Source organism: Homo sapiens, chromosome 4 (genome assembly GCF_000001405.40).
Source record: "Homo sapiens chromosome 4, GRCh38.p14 Primary Assembly".
Lineage (NCBI taxonomy): Eukaryota > Metazoa > Chordata > Mammalia > Primates > Hominidae > Homo > Homo sapiens.
The window spans coordinates 108,083,766-108,109,642 of NC_000004.12; the positions used below are offsets into that span (position 1 = coordinate 108,083,766).

Below are 25,877 nucleotides of genomic sequence, written 5' to 3' on the forward strand. Positions count from 1 at the left end.
GTTTTATATAGAATGAGAATGTTTTTTTGTAGAATGGAAAATGACAGCCCTTCGTAAGTAGATGGCTTGCCACAAAGTTCAAGGATTAGGTAAATTGCCATTTTCATATTTTCATTGGTTCCCTTATGGACATATAGATTTGGGAAATGTGACACCTCAGAGGATCAAAGATTAATTAGGAATCATCTTCAGCCCCATAATGGTCACATTTGATATGATTCATTTGGTCTCTGTCTAAGCTCTTCATCAAGTTGAGTCCTCTGGGCTGCAAGGTCAAGCTGTTCTGGATTAGCTGAATTCCACAGAAAATGAAAGTGCCACCAAATTGTTTCTTGAGCTCACAGTCCCTGGAGTACACTGCCCTGTAACTGTGAAAACCACCTAAAGATTATATGTAATCCCAGTCCCAAGTGACATCCCTTTATACCTTACCCTAGGTACAGAAGAAAAAAATGACAAGACAAATGCATAAAATGTAAAATATAACAACTTAGATTCAATGTGTTTGGGGGAAAGTGATTCAGAATAGAAAAAAAGCCACAGATGTGTCTTCACATAGCTAATGATGGCTTTAAAAGACCACTTCCATATACAAGCACATATTCCAAGGTTTAACACCCAGATTATACGTTTAGTGACTGTAAATATTATATACTGGCTAATATGTGGAATTAGATGAGTACATGGAAGATGTTTCTTAAATATTCTGCTTTTTACTATTTAAAGTGCCTAGGAATTTCATTTGTATCTTAAAGATACTGAAAGCCTTCACATTGGGAATGACAAGAAGTGCTGTCTTGAAAGTTGGTGTTAATTCAACTTTGAAGTTAGAACGAACTATTTCTCAATTCTTACAGAAAGTAGGTGGGAAAGAAAAAAGTTCTTTAATTTCTCAACAGAGGGCTTACCTTAAATCATCTCATGTTTTGCTGTTTTTAAAATAATGGTTTCAAATCTCCTTTATTCAAAAAAATTGTTTTTGTTAGAAATACTGACTCTTTTGGTTACAGCAGAACATAAATTTTTTACCCTAGGATTTTTTTGGGGTGGGGGAGTTTGCAGTGGTGATTCTTAACATATCAGAATCATTGAGGAGGTTTTTCAACTTGCTGCCCCCTTAACTCTGAGATCCAGATACCTCCCCAAATCTCACGGTCTGTAAGGGGATGGCTCAGTCGCGGGGATAAACAAAATAAAATAAAAGCAATACAATTTGACCAACCCTGAAAAACATCAGAAATGTAGTGAAAATTTCAATGTTTTATTCTATTAACTTGAAAATCGTAGCGGTCACAGACTATCTGAATTATCTATTTTATTTTATTTTATTTTGTTTTATTTTTGAGACAGTCTCCCTCTGTCACCCAGGCTGGAGTGCAGTGGCACAATTTCAGCTCACCACAACCTCTGCCTTCCGGGTTCAAGCGATTCTCCAGCCTCAGCCTCCTGAGTAGCCAGGTATATAGGCGCGTGCCACCATGCCCAATTTTATATTTTTAGTAGAGACAGGGCTTCGCCATGTTGGCCAGGCTGATCTTGAACTCCTGACCTCAGGTGATCCGCCCGCCTCGTCCTCCCAAAGTGCTGGGATTACAGGCATGAACCACAGCCCTGAATTATCTACTTTAATTCCTCTATTTCACAGGTGTGGAAATTGAGGTCTAGAGGGACCAAGTGACTGTTAAGGCATCTGTTTTCTGTCCTGAACTTTTGTCACTGGGACATGGAGAGGTAACTTGCTTGCAGTCACATGTCTTTAAGCTTAAACTCTTACTCTCCGTACTACTCCATGTTCTAAGCATGCTTAGAACACAGCAGTAGTGATACTGTTCAGAAGTGATTCAACAGAACAAAAAATACCAACTAGTTGGATGTCACTCTTCTGCTAGAAGGAAGAAGGAAGGAACTAGAGGACAGGTCCTATGCTAGGCGTTTGACTCTATAGAAATTCTACTCTTCTTTCAAATGTTCCTCTCATAGGCAATTTTCTCTAACTTACAGCTCTGAGAAATCTTTCTCCTTTGAATCTACAAGTTTTTTTATTTGTACTTTTAATGTGGTACTTGGGATGCTCTTCATTTTGTTTTATAGTTAGTCTGTGCAAATGATTTCCTGCATGAGCTTATATACTGCTTGGAGAAAAAGATCACATTTTACCAATTTATGTATCTAACCATGGTTTTCTGCAGAGGAGCCTCTTAGTTAATATTTCTGACCAATTGAACAAACAAACAAGTGAAGTCAGAAGTGTTAAAACAGACCCATTCCATATGCTGGGTCAATATTATCAACCACTTGGCATGTACATGCAAATACATGATGTGGCTTAGGTCATTATGTGAGCAGAAAGTGGATCTGAGTATTCTAAATAGGTCACTGTCCTTTAAAAATCCTATTTCCAAAGATTCTCAGAAGTGTGTGTCTCTCCACCAACTACTATGCCACTGAAGACACATTTCACATCATTTTTTTTTAAGTTTATTTTTTATTTATTTAATTTTTTTAGAGCTGAGGGGGTCTCACTCTGTTGCCCAGGCTGGCCTCAAACTCGTGGCCTCAAGCGATCCTTGCGTCAGCCTCCTGAGTAGCTGGGATTACAGGCATGAACCACATTGTGCCCAGCACATTTCACATCATTTATTCAACTAGTATTTATTGAACACTTACTATGTGCTGGAGGATATACTGAGCGTAGCCTTTAAGATTTTTAAACTTGTATAGGTAACTTCTATAGACATAGGTGAAATAATACTGGAGTCAGACTATATGGATATACAGCTCACTAGCTATGCATTTTTGAGGAAGTTATGTAATTGCTACTGTTTTATAAAATAAGAATAGGACTGTTGTGAAGAATAAATGCATTAATATATGTACTACGGAAAATGCCTGGAGCAAAAGTATAAGTATTTGTTGTCATCTGTAAGGATAAAATGGGTAACACATAGATAAAAACAGACATCTAAACCTAGGATTTCCTAAAAGCGCTTTCCTTTTGATATTTTTACCAGACACATAATGAGAAAATTGACATTAATGTACTGTCCCTTACACACACACACTTACACACACACACACACACACGTGAAAACTAATGTGCTCCCTAATAGGAAATTAACCTGGAGTTGTTTTTCCACAAATGAGAATGAGCTCTGCTGGCAAACATTTTATATTTATGGAATAGTTCTATCTAGGGTTAAAGTGTGAATATGATGATCTTCGGTTGTTTTTTTCTGGCTGAGGCGGAGGGGTTGGGGGAAGATACAGCTAACTAGTCTATTAGGATCTTTGAAACCAGCAGCTCTGGCCTCAGTACCATCATGCCCTAAGGCAGGAGAGAAAAAGAATTAAAAGGAAGAGATCTAGTAAGCTTATTTTCTTCGCAACAAAAGTGCCCAACTGGAATGATACAAACTCAGTATCATGGAAGTGAGTGCTTTTTTCAAATTGGAGTTTATATATCTCCAGAAGTACACGATGATAAGGAACACAAGGCCTGGGATAAAACAGGATCTTTTTTTAAAACAAGCACAAATAGTGTCTGGACCAGAATACAAAAATCACATCAATCTTTAGAACAAAATAAAGACCGAAGAAACTGCAAGCAGACAACTTCTGGTGATGACCATTAGTCCCTTCTCGGTAGTTTTGGAGAGTTTTTTTTTAAAAAAAGTTTGAGAAGCAATGATATAACTTAACAATTATGCAAAACAAGGTAGGGTGGCAGTAGGAGATGGAAACAGAAGAGAAACTATAAGCGTAACTGAGAGCCAGTTATAAACTTAACTATTAAAAAATTGAACTGTCCTATTATTCTTGAGAGAAAAACTACTGAACTATGATTGATTTCTTATTCTTTTTAAAGAGTTAATGTTTCGAAGAGTTTCAAATAGGACCTAGGACAGGGTAAGCACTATTTAATTGTTAAATAAAGAAATAATTAACAACTAAATAGGTTCCCAGATGTGCACCTCCTGCTCGGATGCTGGTCTGAGATTGTGACCCACAGGTTTCAGTGGCCTACCTCCTGTCTCCCCTTGGGTATCTCACAGACACTTCAAATTCACCACGACCAAGACTGGTCCTCCCTCTCAAACTCAGCCTGCTTCCTGAGACCCCTATCTTAATTCCCTTTCTCACTATACAGCCATAGACCTGACTCTTGAACATTCCTAATTTGTTGGAGGCTCTTGATTAAAGGAAGCAGGGTGGAGGAAGGACAGAGGATTAAAAAATAAAACAGAAGCAAACCTAGAAATGTCTGCATCGGTGATTCTCAACTTTTCAAAGTACTCAGACTCTATTCAAGTCTAGTGCACTAGTAACTAAGTCTTTAAATAAGCATTCTGTTTTAACAAGGAAGGGAAATGAAAGCGTTAAGTATTTAACCTAGAAGTGTTCACCAGTAGTGGAAAGAACACCCAGCCTCTATGCCACTCTTTTTCACACAGTCATTAAATTTTGTTGTCCATTGTAAGTCCCAGAAAGGGATGGACAAAGGGGTAAAATGTAGGCAGTGGCAAATTTTACCCCTTTACGTTCTCTGCCTTCACATTTTTTAAAATCTTTTATTTTGAACTTTCAAAGACCCTGTTGAAGTCCAAGTGCGCATGTGCATGCAAAGAGGAACGAGCCACCCTGAGAGCAAATCCATCCTTGAGGTTTGCGCCCTGAGTGATGGGACCAGAAGGCTTGGTGCACCAGAGCTCTCTGTCCTACTCCCAACTCGTACCCGTACACATCAGGCAGAAACAGGATGTTTTAATTTTTCAGACCTCTTGCACTATATATTTTTTCTATAAACAAAGTAGAAGCAAATATTAATGCAGAGGCGTAAAATAAGATTCACGATTCTTGGACTTTAAATAGAGGTTTTATACATCAATGATTATGTAGAATATGTAACCTAGTGCTGGTAAATAACAAAAGATGAAACACCATAGGGATATAATGGAATAACCAAAAGAGATTCAAAAGAATAAATCTCCTACTTTCCCCATTCCTATTTTAAAATTACCAGCATCAATATCTTGTACATGCTGAAATAAATGAATATTGTAGAGTACTGACTTTTTAGTATATTTGCACAATCTATTGGTTTACATTGTGAATGAAAGATTTTCATTCATTGTGGCCCTGCTATGCTTTTCTTCTGCTTTTTAATAATGCATAATAAATGTAACAGATTCTTGTGTGTTTCCAAAGAATTGCTATCAAATGAATTACTCTTGTCTTGTAAAAACACATTCTGATCCACCCAGTGACATGGAGCACTGGCATCTGGAAGGTCACTCAGGCTGATGAGATTTGGCTCTTCATTTGGCAAAAAAAAAGGGCCTGGAAAGACAGGGACTCTCACCTTGTTTGGAGTTGACATCTGATGGGATGTGTGACGGGTGTGATCCTGGAGAAAAGTGCTCGTCACTGTAAGTGATGAGGGGGGTGAGAGGATGGACCGCATGGGATGGCTGCACCACGGGCACTTTATTTGACTGCAAAGTAACCACAAGGTCAATAGTTAATATGGATGCCCAGCTCCAGTCTTTTCTCCCAAAGAAAAAAATTCACACAGCAGCAGTAACCAGTCATCAACATAACCCAAGAATCACCTTCAGACCTGGACAGGTGGAAATGTCTCTTTTAGAATTTTTCTGAATTTTTCCATGGTAAATACTTCTCAAATATATGAATATGTCACTGATATTCATGAGTTATCAGTTATTTCACCAGTGACTCTTCAGGGATTTAGGTTGATCACTACTCTTCCATATGGCATGAATTTCTGTACATATATATTTATACTCTCTTTTAGATTATTTCCTCAGGTTAAGTCAATAAAGAGCGAATTACAGCAAAATTTATGAATGTTTTACAACATTTGTATTCACTACATATGTCTGGCACAAAAAGCAAAAAACTGTCCAATGAGCAAATAAATGAATAAATATTGCCAATTCAAAGGATAAATTTTTAAACCCAATAAATATAAATTTCCTATACTGATATCCCCTCAGCTTACAGAGTTCATAACTCTATGTTGTACATCTTTAAGAACCATGGTACACCATTCTTTCGAGTTTTATAGCTTTGTCAATCAAACAAGACTAGCCATTATGCTTTGGCCCTCCTCAGTTCATCTTCTGCTTCTCTAGTTTCCATAAACATTAATTGATAAAAAGGAATTTCCAATCTTGAGTTGAACTGCATAATATGAAATACTGTCTTTTTTTTTTGAGATGGAGTTTCACTGTGTCGCCCAGGCTGGAGTGCAGTGGTGTGATCTTGGCTCACTGCAACCTCCACCTTCCGGGTTCAAGTGATTCTCCTGCCTCAGCCTCCCAAGTAGGACTACAGGCACCCGCCACCACATTCAGCTAATTTTTTTTGTATTTTTAGTAAAGACAGGGTTTCACTATATTGGCCAGGCTGGTTTTGAACTCCTGACTTTGTGATCTGCCCACTTTGGCCTCCCAAAGTGCTGGGATTATAGGCATGAGCCACCGTGTCCAGCTGAAATACTGCTTTAATAATATTTTTAATTGTTAAAATTGTATATTTTAACACACTTTATATGTCTTATACTTGTTTACAGACATTTTATTATTTAATTTGGAAGTCAACAGTCACACTTTTTAATTCAAGTTATCTAATTGGACTTCATCAATTTGAAATCTGTGATTACTTTGGTTACAAAGTTAAGGTTGTTCCCCCCAACCCAAAAGTGCTTACTAAGTAATTAAAAAATATAAAGAAGACTTAAGTAGGTTTAACCTAATTAGTAAAATCACTTATTTATTTATTATTTATTTTTTATTGATATGGCATAGCTGTAGAAATTTTGTGGTATATGTGATATTCTGATACCTGTATAAAAGGTGGAATGATCAAGTTAGGATAACTGGGATATCCATCACCTCAAACATTATCTTTCCTTTGTGTTGTGAACATTAAAATTCTTCCCTTCTAGCTATTAAATAATCTATTGTTAGCTACAGTTTCTCTACTGTACATACTACAACTTATTCCTTCTATCTAACCGTATTTTTATACCCATTAACAACTTCTCTAGGGGAATCATTTTAAAGAGACTCAATAAACCCTTCACCAAAGAAAAAGGGACTCAACACAATTATATACCTGTTAAAGGTGTTTGTTTCTGATTTTAAACTAATCTAATAATTAAAGCAGTTGCAGGAAAATCTCTACTTAAAAACACTATAGTAATGGGTAACATGAATTTAAGAGAAAATTGAGCATATCATTATGCTCAATTCACTAGTTCAGACATGTCTTCATCATAATTAGTTTGAATTAGTAAGATCTTACTATATTATTGACTAAAATGCATGTGAAATCAGTTTTCTCCTGAAGCAAATATTCATATTTTTTAAAAATTTGAGGAAGTGCCTAAAACTGCACAATGTGAACTGCTTAAAATGTAAGTCCATATCTGAATGGTTAAAGAGGGCCCCCAAAACACACTTGTGTATGGTGGCTGTACCTACGACATACACTAATTTTGAACTTAATATTTTTTACAAATTAGCCATAAAAAATATGTGGCTCCAATGAGAAGGACTCCCCTTAGAAAAATTAGAATTCTTATACCCTATCTTATAAGAAAAATTAGTAATTCTTCTTATACCCTATCATTACAACCTCCATCCAAAAGAAACTTACGGGGGGGGGAAAAAAAAGGAAAAAAAAATCACACTTTTTTTGGAAAATGATATAATTTCCATACTAGATTTTCCCTATTTTATAATTATCAGCTCTTCTTTAATGGCAAAACTTGCATAGCTCATATAGCTTTTTTGGCGTATATTAAATAGAGTGCCATTATCATAGCCACACAATTTTTCTCTACACACCTCAGCACAAACATCTATGCATATAAATGTGTAAAAGGTTAAACAAATCTTCTAATGCTTTTCGAGTGTTAATGACACAGTTTTCCAAATAACAGAATAAGCTTCTTAAATACATGGAATTTAGAATGCTAGAAGTGGGGGTGGGTAGATGTGAGGATAGGAGGAGTTTATTATGAACTCTTTTGAAAATGGAAACACAAATCTCAACGCCCAAATGTTAAAATCGATAGATTTCAAATATACTTTAGAATAATGGCTTTCAGTTTCATTTTAAAAGTCTCATAAATAAGCATAATTGCCAAACAATCTACAAAGATATTTTCTTAGGGTACTTATAAAGAGTAAACACTGTGGAAATCTTCTGGATATATTCTTTCTTTCCAGAGCACCACCTTAAGGAACTTGCATTAGCAGGCAGCATCTTCTTAATGTCTGACCTATCCCTCCAGTCATATAGCTCAGAATCTGGTGCCATGAATTTTTGCTAAATTATGCTATCCTTGCTCTCCTCTTAATTTTACGGTTTTCAACACAGATTTGCTTTCCTGTGGGAAAGAGATAAGAAGCCGAGGATTTTAATTTAAGCCTGGCCTTGTCTTATATTTTGCAAGATGGATAGCGAAAGCAGTACTAGTAGGTGTGTTAAAGCCAACAAGGATTATGTCCATTTTTGTGGCCAAATAATAAAAGTAATATGAAATTTCAATAGCATGTGTGAGCAGAATTCCAAGGGTTATGGTTTGCTTCCTGCCAACCATCTCCACTATGTATATAAACAGAACAAAGTGGATTCCAACTTACACTGCGGATATGTGGCACATCATCATCACAGTCAAGATTCCTCAGCCCAAAAATCTGCAGGCTTCCTCTGATTTCACAAGTTACTGCCCCTTGACACTATGTGCACACACAAAGTGAGAACCCTGGCACTGCTACTTTGGTTAAGTTTTAAGACAGCCAGTAAAACCATTCTTAATTCCATTCATTTAATCTCCTAATAAAATGTGGTATATATTTTCTTGTGGGGAGTAGGTAAGCGGAAGAATAATCAACCAACTATCTAAGTGTTTGTAGACAAATTAAGTGGCTACATCACATGCAGAGTTATACATGCCCGTGTGCATATGTGTGTATTTATTAAGCACCTAAAATGTTTCAAGCACTATTCTAGCACCAATGACCAACACACAGATAAGGTCTCTAATTCTCGCAGCTTACTTTCTGGGGCTCTGGAAGTGGCGTCAGGCAGCAGGGGGTGGGTATTGGAAACAATGAATATGTAAAAAAAAAAAAAAAAAAAAAAAAAAAAAAAAGACAAGCAAAATCTGAAAAGGCAGCATCAAGTACTATGAAGAAAATGAACCTGGTGATAGGAGAAAGTGTGTATCTAAGTATATGCCTTTTTATTATGTTTAAGCTCTAAGAAACCTAAAGTATATTTAGTAGCTTATTTTAGTTCCTTATTTTAATTTTACAGACTGGAAGCCGAGAAACAGAGGTCACCAGGGAATGGGTAGGTCAAGCCAGGACTACTGTATAAAATAGTACAGTCCTGCTCACTACACAACTCCAGTAACGCAGGGACACTGAATACAATGGGAATGAACCCCCTGGGCTGCCCAATACAGTGGAATCAGCAGTAGAAAAGTTCGATCCTTTTGGCTCTTACTCTGTGCTGGCTACTGTACACATAGTAAGTACCTCACTTAATAGAACCCAAGTCTCCTGATTCCTACTCGGGTGCTTTTCCTACTACACATCTCGCTGTAAGGGAGGGAAGGAGGGAGAGAGGGTAAAAATCACCTGCTTTTTGATTCACAGATACAATCAGGTAAGTCTTAGCTTCCAGTTGAGAATCACCAGGTAGTCCCAATATGTGCTCTGTTTCATTATCCCAGGGTCACAGGATGCACAGTTACTCCAGCTTTACGAGATACCTGGCAGCCCTGTCACCCCAAATTCTCCACTTCTGGTCAGAGGTTCAGTGACTTGTTTAAGCTCACAAGGCAGTAAGAGTTAGGCCAAAACCCTTGGTTTCTGATTCCAACTGCACATTCTTTAATCTCAGGCAGGTGATTGGTGGGTGAGCAAAGGAAAAGACAAAAAGAGTAGATACTTAAAAAAGAAAAAAAAGAAAGAAAGAAAAGGGAGAAAATATCAAGGATGGCTGTTTAGGGAGAAGCTTGAAACCCTTTCTTAAATTTGCAAATCACCATCAGGCCAACCTACCCACATAATACATAGTAATTACAGCAATTAACACTTACCAACTGCTTACTGTGTGCTAAGCACTTTATCCTCACAACAGCTTTGAGGCAGGTACTATTATTATCCCCCTTTTACAGATGAGGAAACAGGCATGGAGAAGAAAATATTCTTGAAGGGTATGTGCTCTAGCAAGCAGCCAAGCCAGGATTCAAATGCAGAAGTCTGGCTCTAGAGGCCAAGCTCATTACCTGTACATCATGTGGCCTTCCTGAAAGCCAAGTTCATAAAATCTTGGACACTGAGGTGACCATTTGGGCCACACCTGAGAGCATGTGACATCTATGAAATGGCTGTGTGGTCTCTGTCCCAGGCACAGGAATCACTTGAGACAAAGAAGCACCTCAGCAGAAGTGGGTAAAGCTACGGAGACTCAACTGCAGCCTTTCTCTCCAGGACTGGAAAACATGCCAAGGAAGCTTGGTTGGCTGCCACCCAGGCTGGTCCCTGCAGGTAAGGACCTCTTTGGCATCACAGCCAATAAAACCCATACCTCCTGTGGACACGAAGTGGGTGCCACTTAGGGATCCTGAGAGCCACCCCCAAAGCAGCATTCCCAGAAATGACCCACTCACCACTGGCAGGAATTGAAGGTGTCATGAAAGCTGTTAGCCTCAGAGGATGTGGTTCTGGGAAGAACTAAAAAGGTGGTTCAACTCCCTACTGGCTAAGGCCTGGGGCCTCCTGGATAGAGGAGTAACTGGGGGAGAAACCTGCTGTCCTGGTAGCTAGTCCTCATTTTCCACATCTCCAGGTTCTAACTAAACTAAACCCAAAGTGCGGGATCTGGCTGTGCATAAAGGTCTGGAGTTTCAACTGGCTGTGCATTTAATCAATAATCTTCTGGTAATAACTGAATCCAGGGGAATTTTAACACTTCATCAACTTATTGAGATGAGGAATTTCATCTGGCCTTGATTGTTATGGTGGCATTTTTGCTTTTCATTAAACACTTCAGAAGTCTGGTACTCGTGACATAAAGCCATGTAACTTCATGCTGCGCCTTTCCCTCCTTTTCTGAGAATCTGAGCTTCTCAAGCCTTCCCAGAAAGAGAGGCAGATTTACTCCAAAAGGATACATTGATTCTTGCATCTAGACCTCAGAAACAAGGTACTGGAAATATTTCCTAAGATCCACCAAAGCCAAACACCTGCTTCAGGTCTGATGTGGCTTTCAAATGTAAGACCCCCTACTGGTGGTGATGCAGCTGCATTTTTCAGATAAGAACGAGGCCCCAGGATCTTAAGATTCAAACGGTCCATGAGCCCAACTCTGGAGGAAAAGGGATGGTCTAGAGACCTGCACCATCATCAGACAACTGAAATGTTTTCTTAAGAGGGGAAGGAACATATCACAGGGAAAGGAATTAACATGGGTTGCACAGTTAGTAAGTACCAGTCATTACAGTAGCGCTTTTATATACTCTGGCACTCGTCCATGTAAGTGGGTATTATTACCCCCATATTTATAGATGAGAAGGCTGAGTCTTTTTGAACACAGAGCTAAGTAATAATTAGTGGAGAGAGGATCTGTGCCGGCATTTGTTTGATACCAAAGTCCCTGCTCTTCCTGCCCCACACTGTTTGGTGCTCAGCTCCTCTCTCCATCTCTATTCCAAACTACCCCCCAACCAAGTGAATGTGGCCTGCTGTGGCCTCAACTGTAATGAAGCATCTAGAGAGGAACAGTGGACCACTTGGAGAAAACTGATATTACCAGAGGCAATCAGACTACAACAGAATGCTGGAAGGGCTCCCTTTTAAAACGCATGGAAAACCCACTATTCTCCAAGTTCTCTGTAAGGTGGTGAATTCCAAACATTACGTCATTTAATCCTAAAGCCATACCTAAGTTAGGTGTTAAGATTTCTGTTTTATCGAGAAGGAAACAAGGCTCTGGGAATAATTCATTCTGGGAGCCAAAAGGAGACCCATTGTTTTCAGTAACTGGAGCCTGTAAATAGAGGGACTGGGGTTAAGGTTAGAGGCTGAGGAAAGATCAGGGTAAAGGAAAAATGACATCTAATTATGTAAAGTTGCAACATCCTATTATTTGATTGATTTCACAACACCCTCACCATACCCCTAATCATCTAAGTACTCCATTAATTTTTCATGTTGAAGAAAATACTTTGAAAATTAAGAGAAGGAACTGGAGTCATTCCAGATAAATGAGCCAAAAAAACAAACTAAAACATTTGCAACTTACTTACTTGTACTATTTAGTGGTAAAATAGTACAAGTAAGGCATTACAGTGGTTGATTCAGAGGTCAAATAGAGGGATGGGGCATAAGTAAAAGAAAGGACCACCAGATTCTCACCAGATTCTAAGGAGGCAAGAGGAAGAGGAGGAGAAGGAGAAACAGGAGGAGGAGGAAGAGCAGCAGCAGTAGCAGCTGCCTGCCTGGACCACTAGCTGTAGTGGTGCAAGGATTCTATGGGGTATGGAAAACTTTGCAGTGGAAGGACGTGGGGCAGAGCGAGAATCCAATGGTTCATCTTTTCTGGATCACAGACATGAAAAATAAGATGAAAGCTGTGTTTAAATGTTTTTATACACAAATACAATCACACATCAGTGGGTTGGGGCAGAGGAGTTGCAGTATGCACAGGGGAGGACAGGGAAAGAAGTGGCCCATGATCCCTAGATTTAAAGCTGCTGCCTTACCAAAGCAAATGGACAAATGGGATCACGTTAAGTTAAAAAGCTTCTGGAGAGCAAAGGAAATAGTCAACGATGTGAGGAGACAACCCACAGCATGGGGAAAAATATTTGCAAACTACCCATCTGACAAGGGATTAATAACTAGAATATGTAAGGAGCTCAAACAACTCTATAGGAAAAAGTGAAATAATCCCTTTGTAAAATGGGCAAATGGTGTGAATAGACATTTCTCAAAAGAAGACACACAAATGGCAAACAGGTATATGAAAAGGTGCTCAACATCATTAATCATCAGAGAAATGCAAATCAAAACTACCACGTGACATCATCTCACCCCAGTTAAAATGGTTTTTATCCAAAGGACAGGTAATAACGAATGGTGGCGTGGGTATAAAGAAAAGGGAAACTTTGTACACTGCTGGTGGAAATGTAAATTAATATGATGACTATGGAGAACAGTGTGGAGTTGCCTCAAAATCTAAAAATATTATCACCTTATTATCTAACAATCCCACTGCTCGGTATACTCAAAAGAAAGGAAATCAGTATATTAAAGAGCTATCTGCATTCCCATATTTACTGCAGCACTATTCACAATAGCTAAGATTTGGAATCAACCTCAGTGTCCATTAATGGATGAATGGATAGAGAAAATGTGGTATATACCCAATGAAATATTATTCAGCCACAAAACAGAGTGACATCTTTGCATTTGCAACAACATGGATGGAACTGGATGACATTATGTTATGTGAAATAAGCCAGGCACAGAGAAACAAATAACCACATTCTCACTCATTTGTGAGAGCTAAAAATTAAAACAGTTGAACTCACGGAGATACAGAGTAGAATGATGGTTACCAGCAGCTTGGAATGGGGGTTGGGTGAGTGGGGATGGTTAATGAGTGCAAAAATATAGTTAGGATAAGATCTAGTTTTGATAGCTAGCACAACAGCGTGACTATAGTCAACAATAATTTATCGTAAGTTTTAAAATAACTAAAAGAGTGGAATTGGAATGTTCCTAACACAATGAAATGATAGATGCTTGAGGAGATGGATACCCCAATTACCTGGACATGATTACTACACCTTGTATGCCTATATCAAAACATCACATGTACCCCATAAATATACATACCTATTATGTACCCATAATGATTAAAACCTAGACATTTTTTAATATCTGCTGCCTTATTCTGAGAGAAGTATTTTACCAATCCAATCACTGCATAATAACTTATTATGATTAATAAGCTGAAGTGTAGTCAGCTTGATGAAAGTAGTATTTGTGCAGGTCAGTGGAAAATAATGGAAGGTAAACAAATCAATTAAAGTGAGTGAGAAGTCAGGAGCAAAAGCTTTCTCTGTCTACCATCCAGAGAGCTCAGACCGGAGGCGACATGAGGCAACCCCAGGGACTCCAGAACCAGAGAGGGAGGGCACTGTTTGGGGCGGGTTGGTTCAGGGGGGACAAATTCCAGAAAGATTTCCTCAGAACCTCATCAGCCATCAATCCTGAATAGGCTCAACAAGGTTTTCTGGTGCTGGTCTGGGGACATGTTGGTTGAAAAGCCTCTCTCCTCCACTGCCCAGGGATGGCATATTCAGAGGGAGGGACTTCCCACTGCCACCACAGCCACACCTCTCTATTATGCAGTTTAGAGGGTGGAAGGGCTCTCCTTGGCACTCAGAATGTCCAGCAGGAAACAATGAATGGTTGGGCCTGAGAAATGGACTCTAGATCTCCTGTGGCGGGGTTGTGGGGGTGGGGTTCGGCAAGCTACAGTCTGCCCAAGGTCAAGGTCAGAGAAGTCCCACAGTTACCCAGATACGAAGTGCAGATGGTCTGTTTAAATGTTCAGACTGCAAATGGAGGGTGCAAAATTCCATAAGCGAAGCCAACAGACTTAAATCTAATTATTTCATATTCAAAGGGGGGGCTTTCACACTTAAGTTTCTAGGAAAAGCATTTGCCTTATTTTAGTTTAAGTAAAACTGATTCTTTAAGATCAGGTGTGAAGGATTTACAGGACAGTAACAGAAATACTTATGTGTACAATTTTGTCCCACCGAGCCTTCTCTGATTTTAATAAGTGCCATATATATACAGTATTCTCTACTTAAAATTGGGTGTTTTAGTAAGTGAAAAGATAACATTTATGTCTACAGGGGTCCTCATTTTTCTATAGAACTTCTGAAGTGCCTTTCAGAAATCAAATGGGGAAAATACAACAAGTTACTTGGGTTCAGCTACTATCAGTCAGATTGGGACTAAAAGTATGAATAATTGAGAGGTAAAGTTATTGGAAAACTCAAATCATTTTCTATGAACATGTAAATTTGATATTTACACTGTAAGATCAGCATTAAAGCTATTCTATAGCGTTGTAGAGTTGTGCTGTCCAATATGGTAGCCATTAGGCATTAGGTCGAGCCCTTGAAAGGTGGCTAGTCCAAGTTGAGACATGCCATAAGTGTAAAATACATACTAGAATTCAAATACTGTGTGTGAAAATAATGTAAATGATCTCAGTATGTTTATATTGATTACATGCTCAAATAACATTTTTGACATATTATGTTCAATAAATTTATTACTAAAATTAATTTTACCTGTCTTTACCTTTTGATGTAGCTTAAGAAAACATAAAATTACATATATGACTTGCATTTGTGATCTGCACTACATTTCTATCAGGCAGTTCTGCTTACAGTTTAAAAATTTGTAGGTGGGACTGCCCCCTTTCTGTCTCGTACTCCAATTTGACTTAAACAAAAAAATTGGCGTTTTTGAAACAAAGCTTCCTTGTATGGAAAAGAACTCTTATGGGTAAAAAAACTGAAAATCAGAGAAGGTAAGTGGCAGAGCTGGTAATTTAACATTACATTTCAATATCCCATACTGAGAGTCAAGTCTATACACATGTATGTATATATATATGTGTATGTATATATATATATATATGTGTATATGTGTGTGTGTGTATGTGTGTGTGTGTGTATATATATATATATATATATATATATATATATATATATATATATATAAATAATACTTGAAATTATGGGGTACGTGTGCAGAACATGCAGGTTTGTTACATAGGTATACACGTGCCCTGGTGGTTTGCCGCACCCATCAACCTATATCATCTACATTAGGTATTTCTCCAAATGCTAAAGTCAATATATTTAAAACCAAATATTTATATGACAACTAGTACAGAACTATAACCTTTCATTTTATGGTGTAAAAAAAATTACTAAAAGCAGGGTAGAATGATCCTTATGATTAAATTGTGTGTCTTGAAGCAGTTATATGTAACTTCTTCAACTTGCCAGTCAACTCAGATAACTTTTACAAATACCTAACACACATTTTCAGATTCATTACAAGTTACTGATGAACTCATTCCTTGACAAGTAACCATCTTTTCCATTTCACATCATAGCACATTATCTAGGAAGAAAAAGCAGAGCTTATCTTGAGTGAAAAATGATGCTGCAGACAACACTATTCACAGGATATATTTATATGAGTCAAGAAAAAAATAACCTTTTGTTATAGACTTAAAAACAAAACCTGAAATGAGTTGGAATTGAGTCTGAAAACTTAAATGAGAAAGAAAGCAGATTACGTAAACTGGGTTCTATGTAACTTTGCTTCATCTTAAAGCTCTCAAATAAGTCAAGCCAGAAGAGAACATTTTCCCTGAAAACATTTATTTCAAAAAAGAGGAAGCAAAATTTAAAGACCTTTTAAAAGACTTTCAATTCTATTAATAAATTATAAAAAGGAAATATTCTATAACCCATGGAAAACTGTAGTAGCAAAGACAACAGCTATTCTCTGCTAGTGAAAAAGGGCATTTCTGTGAATATAAAATCAAAGATAAACTCCACTTTGTTCCATGTATTAAAAATAGAAAATTTTCCTCCTGAAGTTTATTTTCATTTCCATCTCTTTTAGGGGAACATGCTGAAGAATTCAAGACAGATACTGAATGCCTAACCTATGTATCTTTCCCGAGAGCAATCTACATTACCCTGAATTTACAGTAGTGTCCAGGAGCCGGCTTGTTCTAGCTCAGAGACCTGATGGCTAAATTTTCAGGAATTTTGAGAGCCTGTTATCATGTTGGTAGCCTGAAATTGGTCATGGTAGGATTATTTATACCATGGAAATTGGCACATGTGAAAAGTCCCCTCTCCCTTGAGCTAATTGTTTCACATATAACAGCACCCCACTGGCAAACACTGAATCCCTTCCTAAATTACTAGGTGAAAAACTCTTATTTATTTCTTTGACAAACAAGAGGATCATAATCTTGATCTCTGTCTGAAACTATTTCAGATGAAAAATTTCAAAGATTATCATTTAACATGGTCTGGGGTGACCTGCTTCATGACCCACTTCCTGCTAACACTGGAGGGATGTGTAGGCATTTGTCCCTAATTACTCTGTCTGGTTCCTTGCCTTGGGTCTAGACAGCATTGGGTTTGAGTCACTGGATACAAGGAGGAACTTTACTGCACAGCAATGAGAAGAGATTTGTAGAAGATTCACAGGTATTTTCTTCCTTTTACTTCTCAAGGAAAGTGTTAATGTAAGGCATAATGTAAAACGTTTGATGTGATTATTTTAGAAAGTTATCCATAAGACACAAAAAAAGCAAATAATTGAGACTTTCACAAGTGCATTAAAGAATAATTAATGCAGCTTTCGACATGAGGCAGTGTATCAGAGCGCAGTTGTCCAGGCCAAATGCACAGAAGCTGACATTGGGCTAAATACAGTATTAAAATAGAGAAAGATGAGACACTTTTGTCTTTGCAGCAGGTTCACTCAAGAAACAAATTCTTTCTAGAGAATATGAAAATCAGCTTAGGGATTTCTGAAAACCATTGTGAATCTCAGGAAGAGGGGTAAAGAAGTAAAAATAATTTAAGGGCTTATTGAAGAATGTTCTCAAGACAGTCTACTCTTGCATGTAGCAAGAATGGTAAACAGAAGTGAGAGGAGTGGGTAGGCAAGTTCCTGTGTACAACAACTTGGAGTTTGCGACCCATGAGTATTGGATTCCTGCTATCAAGAAATGATAAAGTGTGAGCACTGGATTCCTGCTATCCACAAATGATAAATGAAATTCTAAAGCTTTGAATTTCAACACTCTAATATTTTGTAGTTCTGACACTATGGCTAAAAGCAGCTATGGAAAAAAGTCAGGAAAGCAAAAGAAAGAACTGCATATGGAAGCCGAGGTAGGTGGATCACCTGAGGTCAGGAGTTTGAGACCAGCCTGACCAACATGGAGAAACCCCATCTCTGCTAAAAAGACAAAATTAGCCAGACATGGTGGCATGCGCCTGTAGTCCCAGCTACTTGGAAGGCTGAGGCAGGAGAATCACTTGAACCCATGAGGCAGAGCTTGCAAGTGAGCCAAGATAGCACACCATTGCACTCCAGCCTGGGCAACAAGAGTGAAACCCGGTCTCAAAAAAAAAAAAAAAAGAAAGGACGGACTTATTTACTGAACATTTTAAGAATCAGTTTTAAAATGGATCAATGCCACATTGCTGATGGTAGGCACTGGTTTAATGGCAACGTGCACTGGGAATCTGAAAGAACATAAATGGTAATTTGAAGAACATCAATAAAGCTTACAGAACAGATTTAAGACACAGAGCAGGAGCATTCTGTCATTACATTACTTCAATTCTCATTAAAATTATTACTAACCTGATTTCTTCCAGCGTAGGGACCTGTAAGGCTGTGCTAATCATTACAACCTACAGATGAGACGTGGTCATCCTGCCAAAATTCCACAAAGGGCTATGCCCTTTCTCTTCAGCAAAGGCACCACTCTGTACTCCTGTGCCTTTGACCTGCCTCGAATCTCTACCACTAAATTAACCTTCACAGAAAAACTCAGTTGGACAAGTCTGTGATGAGGAAAGTGGCATTCCTCAGTCTCAGAAGAAGGGAAGGAGATAGGAGGCACCTAGAGTCAGTTGCATAGACATAAAGTCAGTGCAAAGACTCCAGCTGATACAGGGACATGATGTTCAGTGGTTCTAAGTTCTATGCCTTGTATGATTACAGAGCTAGGGTCTTACATACAGCAAATATGGAATAAGAGTCCTGTCTTATTCCAGTGGTCTGGATTCTAAGTCTCCAGTAAGTACTTTATTTCAAAGAGGACACATCTTTGGCAGTGTGGTATAGCTATGAATGAGCTCCTCCAACAAAAGGGTGATGTCTTGAGGGAGAAAGCTATAATTAAACAATAATGAAAACCATCACATTTACATTAGCTTACAAAGTGCTTCCATGACCCTTATCTCATTTGGATCTCATTATCACCCTGCAAGAAAGGTATTAATAAATATCCCATGTTTCAGAGAAGGACAAGAAAGCTCAGCAAAGTCCAAAAGCAGTAGAACTCAATCCTGTTTTCTTTCACCAAACCATGATGCAGCCCATTTTCTGGTTCTCTAAGAGCACGCAGCTCCCGTCACTACGTGGGTCTCAAAAGTTGACCTAGAGTGGGCCACTAGGCCTCAGAGGCAAGAGTGAGAATTGTCAAGCTGCAAACACGCAGCCAAACAACAAAGCATCACTATGGAACCTTCGCCTTCCTCCTAAAATGCTGTCATCATCTGTGTTTATGTTTTAGAAATGTTTATGTAATATCATGTGAATGTGCTAATGAACAGTACAATCAATCAGTATATTATTCACAAGCCTTGTGATTCCCAGGACAAGCTGATAAATGGGATGTCAAGAAAGAATGTAAGCTATTCTTGCATATTCAGAAAAATCCCATCCACAGAACAAAGAAACATCCATTTTAAGGAATGAATTTATGTGCCTATGTTTTTCACCTTCCCCTTAATTTTCCAGTTTACGCTACAAATTTCTTCACGCTCTCAATTCTTCCAGCTAACTAGAAATGCTCAAGATATCTTCTCTACCTTGTTACATCTAATTCTTGACCATAATTACAACTGATTTCACCGGAATTTGGATATATCTATTAAAAGATCTGTGGGAATTCATTTTCTCCACACACCCTATTTAATCATTTCAATGTGTAAATGTGGAGACACTGTAAGTCAATGTAAATAATGTTTTCTTTTGCTTAACATAACCTGAATTTTTCCTTCTCCTCTTACTACTAATTCAGTTGTTTTCTCTAAAGAAAAGTGTTAATTTAACTCCCTCTTCCTCTTAAAAAATTCTAAGTAGTTGATGTTTTGAGGTTTAAAGATATTCAAAAGAAATAGAAAACAGTTTTGCAGTTCCTCAAAAAGGTAAACATAGAACTACCATACGACCCAGTGATGCCACTCCTTCTGAAAGAATTGAAATCATATATTCACATGAATACACATATACAAATGTTAACAATGTTAAAAACTGAAAACAACTCAAAATGTCCATCAACTGATGAATGGATAAACAAATTGTGGTACATATAATGCAATGTAATATTATTCATCTATGAAAAAGAAGAAAGTACTGACATTCAATGGATGAACTCTGAAAACATTCTGTTAAGTGAATAAACCATAAACAGAAAGGCCACATATTATATGATATGTATATGTATATGTATATGAAATGTCCGGACCAGGCAAAGTCATAGTAACAAAGTAGATGAGGGGTTGCCAGGGGCTAAGTGGAGGCAGTAATTGAGAATGACTGCTAACAGATACCGGGTTTCTGTTTGGAGTGATGGAATTAGACAGTGGTGATAGTTGTACAACATAGTGAATATACCAAAAACCACTGATTGAAGGCTAATTTTACTTTATACAGAAGGCAAATCCAAGTGAAATTTTACCAAGTGAAATTTATATATATATAAAAATACAATAAATATTATATATAAATTATATATATAAAATATATATATAAATTATTATATAATAATAATATACATATTATATCTCTGAACATTGTAATTTCACATGTAGTGATGACAGGGGAATTCCAGCAAGCTAAAATTGGGATGCTATATAACCAGTGTCCAACCCACAGCAAAGTACGACATATTGTATATGTTTAGGCAGACAGGTGACACCCAAACTATCGTATGAAGGACATACCTATGAATGCTCTTTCCCACTCCCCGCCCTCAATTCCTGGGCCTATCTCCCCATGATGGCAAAAGGGCTGTTATTAGTTTTCCTTGCCCCTCCCCTTCCAGGGCTCTCTCTGGAGTTCCATAAATGGCATCAATCTGACTCTCTGGGGGCATGCCGGTGAACTGACAGCTAGGAGTTGGAGGTGTGCCTTTTCAGGTATCCTCCAAACTGCCAGAGGACAATTAGGGAATGTGCAAGCCTCCTGGGAGTCCGCACTGTCTTCTAGGCTTGTTCTCAGCTGCCAGGTGAGAGATAGGCATGTGACACGGGAGCTGAAGAGAACGTGCAGACTCTAAAATCACAGGCATGAGCAAAAGTCTCTGTCATCAGGCCCAGTTAGTCTTCATCAATAACCTGGAAACGATACATATTTAACCCTCAGAGCTTAATACTATGGGTTTACGTTTTTCCTACATTTAAAAACACTGCTTTTTTTAAACTTAAAATTGCATGAAGAATCCACTTTTTTTTTTTTTTTTTGAGATGGAGTCTTGCTCTGTTGCCCAGGCTGGAGTGCAGTGGCACAATCTTGGCTCACCACAACCTCTGCCTCCCGGGTTCCAGCAATTCTCCTGCCTCAGCCTCCTGAGTAGCTGGGACTACAGACGTGTGCCACCACACCCGGCTAATTTTTGTATTTTTAGTAGAGACGGAGTTTCACTATGTTGGCCAGGCTGGTCTCGAACTCCTGACAGCAGGTGATCTGCCCGCCTCAGCCTCTCAAAGTGATGGGATTACAGGTGTGAGCCTCCACGCCCAGCCTGAACCCGCTTTTAATATCCACTCCTTAAGAAGACTACTAGGGTTCTAATGAAAAGGTTAAAAGCCACTCTTTGAATTTCAAAAATTGTTTTTACCTCAAACATCTCCATTTTCCCAAGTGTTTTCAAAATTAATTTTAATAATGTTTCAAATCATGAGTTGTACAGCTATGAATGAAAATTTTAAGTCTTCTATCTCGTTTCTCTATAGACCTGGTGAAATTCTTATGATAGAGCAATGGATATGATCCCATCTCTCCCAATTTAAGGTCTCTATCAAAGCTTTCATTAGCCTCCCATCACAGGATATGTGCAAAGTGACTCCTGGGCTTGAGATGAAATATTCATTTACCTTATAAAGAAAGGGGGGAAACTTCCACTTCAAAGTAATCAAGTGCAAAGCAGTTTATTAATGTAGAATTCCAGAGCTGAAGGAGCCTAAGCGTTCAATAAATTCTAACCACCCTCAGTCAGTCAATGACGAAAGTGATATTCAGACAAGTCAGGCAGCTGGGTCTGCAGTCGGGCTCCAAATGTTGCCACCCCGAATCCAGTGCCCCACCTGGGATACAAAGCTACTACCAGACCCAGTCACAAATGCTCAGAGGTGAGCCCAGATATGGCTCAGGGAGATCAACGGTCTGATCAGTCAATTTCACCTATCCAACTCAAAAAGTACTTAAGTAAATAAATGCCTACCATGTTAAGGTGCTATCCCAAGGAAGCATGACAAGGAGACAAAGATAAGTAAAATCTCATCACTATTCCCAAGAAACTTAGTATCTACTCAAGGAGGTAAGACATATATGCAAACACCTATAATGTGTAATGTTAAGAACAAAACCAGCCATTAGGAGATGAAACTCCAGGCAGGAGGTAATAAGGAAGGGAAGAAGACAGTAACAGCCTGGGTGTGCCGGGTGAAGGGGAAAGGCCAGGAGAAAGAGGCTTCCAGGTTTTCAAGATTGAGGCTGCCTTTACGGACTAGGATGGGGCAGGCAGGCAGGATGAGGAAAGATGATGGGCTTCATTTTCAGTGTCCAGTGGAAGCAAGCCAGCGACAATATGGTGCACTGATGTACACACATTAGGGTACTTTTGTTGTCGTTTCATGCAACACAAGTTATAAAGTGACTTGTATGAGGTCATCGGGCTGCAAAGTGGTAGAGCCAGCACTAGACTCTAAAGCTCAACTTCTGGTTCCGAGCCATCCCATAGCTCCAGAAGACTACCTATCCTGGATGAGTTGCAAAGATCAGTGGGAGAAATACAAATTATTTTTCCAAAACCCAGTCAAGTTGGTCAAAAATATGCAAGAAAAAGTGACATTACATGGTCATCTAAAAACACTCACCAATGAAGGGGAGTTTACACATATTTACATTCCTTTTCTACTTCTGTGAGTGCACAGAGAGAGGAAACCCATCTGCATGGAGGCGGACACAGGTTGAAAAATGGGTAGTGACAGAAGAATGAGAAAAAATCAGACAGCAGGTCAGATACAAGCATTGTCACCCAGAGTCCAACAGCTGGCTGGTCACTTGTGCATGATTGGAAAATACAAAAAAACCCCACATCTCACATGCCTCTTAAGATAAAAAGACTCATTGATCTTGCTCGAAAGGAGTGAGCCTTTAAACAATCCACTCTCTCTGCCCCTCATTATGACTTTTATTGGTTTTATTCTGCACGAATATATGGACCCATGCCTCGGAAGAAGAGCTGAGGTCAATGACCTTTGCAGGCAAACTTGATAGAATTTATAAGCAGAGAGACAGAGAAAGGTGTTTTTTTTTTTTTCTTTTTTTGGTAAAGATCACACAGATCTAGCAGCCTGACTTCTGGGAAAAATATGAAATTTCGTAGAAAGTCTACAAAGAGAAAAAAAGACCAGAAGTATATGCACTGAAATGTAAACCACAATATTAACTTGTGAGACTATAGGTAATTTTCGTCTCTTATGCTTTCCAAAATTTTTATCTAGAATATTGTGCATAATCCTTACAATCAGGGAAAAGGCTTATTTTATTTTTTTTAAAGGGAAATGGTGGTGCTACTTGAGCTGTCTTGTAAAAAAAAAAATTGTATACTTTGAAATTTATTTTGGATAGTCACTGAAGTCAGATGCATATAAATTTTCTAGCTTTTCATAAAGTTTCTCCCTATGTTGCTGTCAAGGAAGTAACTATCATCTTTTTGTCACTCTCTGAGAACATTTTAGCTCTTCTGAAGGACAGTAAAATAGGATGTTATGTCCTTTGACTATCATGGAGTCTAACAGTCCAATTTCACTCTTCACCCCCGCCCCCCAACATGCTGCTTCTCACTGCCATTTTCCCCGTTACTGATAAGAGAAAGAACAACAGACAGAAAACCTACTACAGGCACATAACTCAAAAGGACAATTACCACATGAAGATGCTTATACTGATCTTCTAGATGCTTACAGCTAGGAGATCCCCAGAAAGCACAGCTCTCACAATTCAATTCAGAGTCAGACATCCACAGTGCTAAAGCGGGCTAGAAAGGGACAGGTCTCCTGGGCAGGGACAGGGAAAAGCAAAGCAAGCTACAAAGTGAGGCTGGTCTTCGCTTTAATTCAAGAGAGAGATGCAAGTTTCGATGAGACCCAACCATCTATTCAATCACTCTGGAAAGTGTATAGTTACAAAGGACCTCAACCTTGATACACAGCTTTTAACAGTGTGCTTCGACTTTGAGGTTTCCTTTCCAGTTGCTCAGACTTTCCACATCAACCTTCAGGTGCTTTGCAAGAGATGACTGTTTTGTAACAAGCCTAACATTGTGCTGGTAATAAAAAAAGGTCTTAGATTATCATCATCTTATCTGCAATCAGTTTGTCATAGCACCTCTTTCTTACTTTCAGCTTCTTCTAGATTTGACTCACTCGTAGTATACCCTTTCTCCTTGCAACCTGACCTGGTTAAGAGATGCAGCGCTAATAATATTTTTCTGGACTTGATTTTTCCTATCCAACCTAAAGCATGACATAAAGATGCTGTTCTCCTTCTGTATGTATAAAATAAATTATATTAAAATGTGGGAGATGTCCAGTGGTCTTGGAACTGGGGATACTTCCATCAAAATAAGAGCAGCCACACTGTCAGGAGAAACATGCAAGTGCTGCAGTCCCACTTGTTCATCTCACCAGACTTTTCCATGTGGTAAACAGGATCACTCAAGAAACCAATACAAATCACTAACTTCTCAGTTTCTTTATTTATAAGATACACATGCACTGCGTTAGGATTAGCAGTTAAATATTAGGATAAAAAATAAACAGAAAACAAGCAAACGAGCTCTTCCTGTTGAGCTGCAAGTTTCTCTCTCCTCCTTCATACTCTTACCCTCTTAATTACATTAAAAAGATCTGGACTGAAGATCGTACAAATAGAGTTGACTTATGTGTGTATTTCATTTTGTATCTGCAACCAGGAATACAGGATTGGAACCAGACCAAGGATCAAATTCAATAGGTCTCTCCAGTGTCCCCAGCTTAGCATGCAAACTTTGATGTGCAAAAACTTAACATTTCTACCTAGGGATGTAGTTTTGATAACAAAGGAGCTTGGCAGACAAAGGGTAATTTGTTAAATCTGCTAGAAGCTACTTATCTGCTGTGGGCATGCAATCTTTAGGCATATTTCAGTTAGCCCCTGTGCAGAACTAATTAAATTGGAGGAAAGAAGAGAAATCCACTCCTTGTAAGGCCATCAACTATTACGTCTCAGTGTTTTTAGCCTGAGCACTTCCTCGGCGCTCAATTCATTTCAATTATTAACAGACAGAAGCTAAACGCTGTTGACTTGCTGGAGGCTGTAATCACCTAGAAAGGCCTCTAAAAATGAAAAAGGGACAAGTTGTTTTCCAGTATGGAAGGTGATTAAGCATGAACTCCAGAGACAGACTGCCTGGGTTTGAATATCACTTCTGTCACTTACCAACTGGGTGATCTTTGGTAAGTCTCTCCATCTCCATGTGCCTAGTTTTTCCTCATTTGTAAAATGGTATTAAGAACAGAGTGACCCTTGAAGGACTGTATGAGCAGGACATGCATTAATATTTGCAAACCACTTAGAACAGCATCTGGCACATAGCAAGTACTATGTAAGTGTTAAAACAAAACATGTGAAGTGCTTAGA

At 38.5% G+C, this 25,877-nt stretch overlaps 1 protein-coding gene across 11 annotated transcripts in view; it reads right to left on the reverse strand.

The window, feature by feature from the left end:
• Window positions 1-25,877, reverse strand: part of LEF1 (lymphoid enhancer binding factor 1) — a 121,385-nt gene that overhangs the window by 36,218 nt on the left and 59,290 nt on the right. For all 11 annotated transcript variants that reach the window (XR_007057926.1, XR_007057925.1, XR_007057927.1 and 8 more), the window contains exon 4: window positions 5,360-5,492. Coding sequence is in view for 8 of the 11 variants with exons in the window: in NM_001130714.3 (NP_001124186.1) it covers window positions 5,360-5,492 (133 nt within the window). In the remaining 3 variants the exon portion in view is untranslated. The remainder of the gene's footprint in view (window positions 1-5,359; window positions 5,493-25,877) is intronic.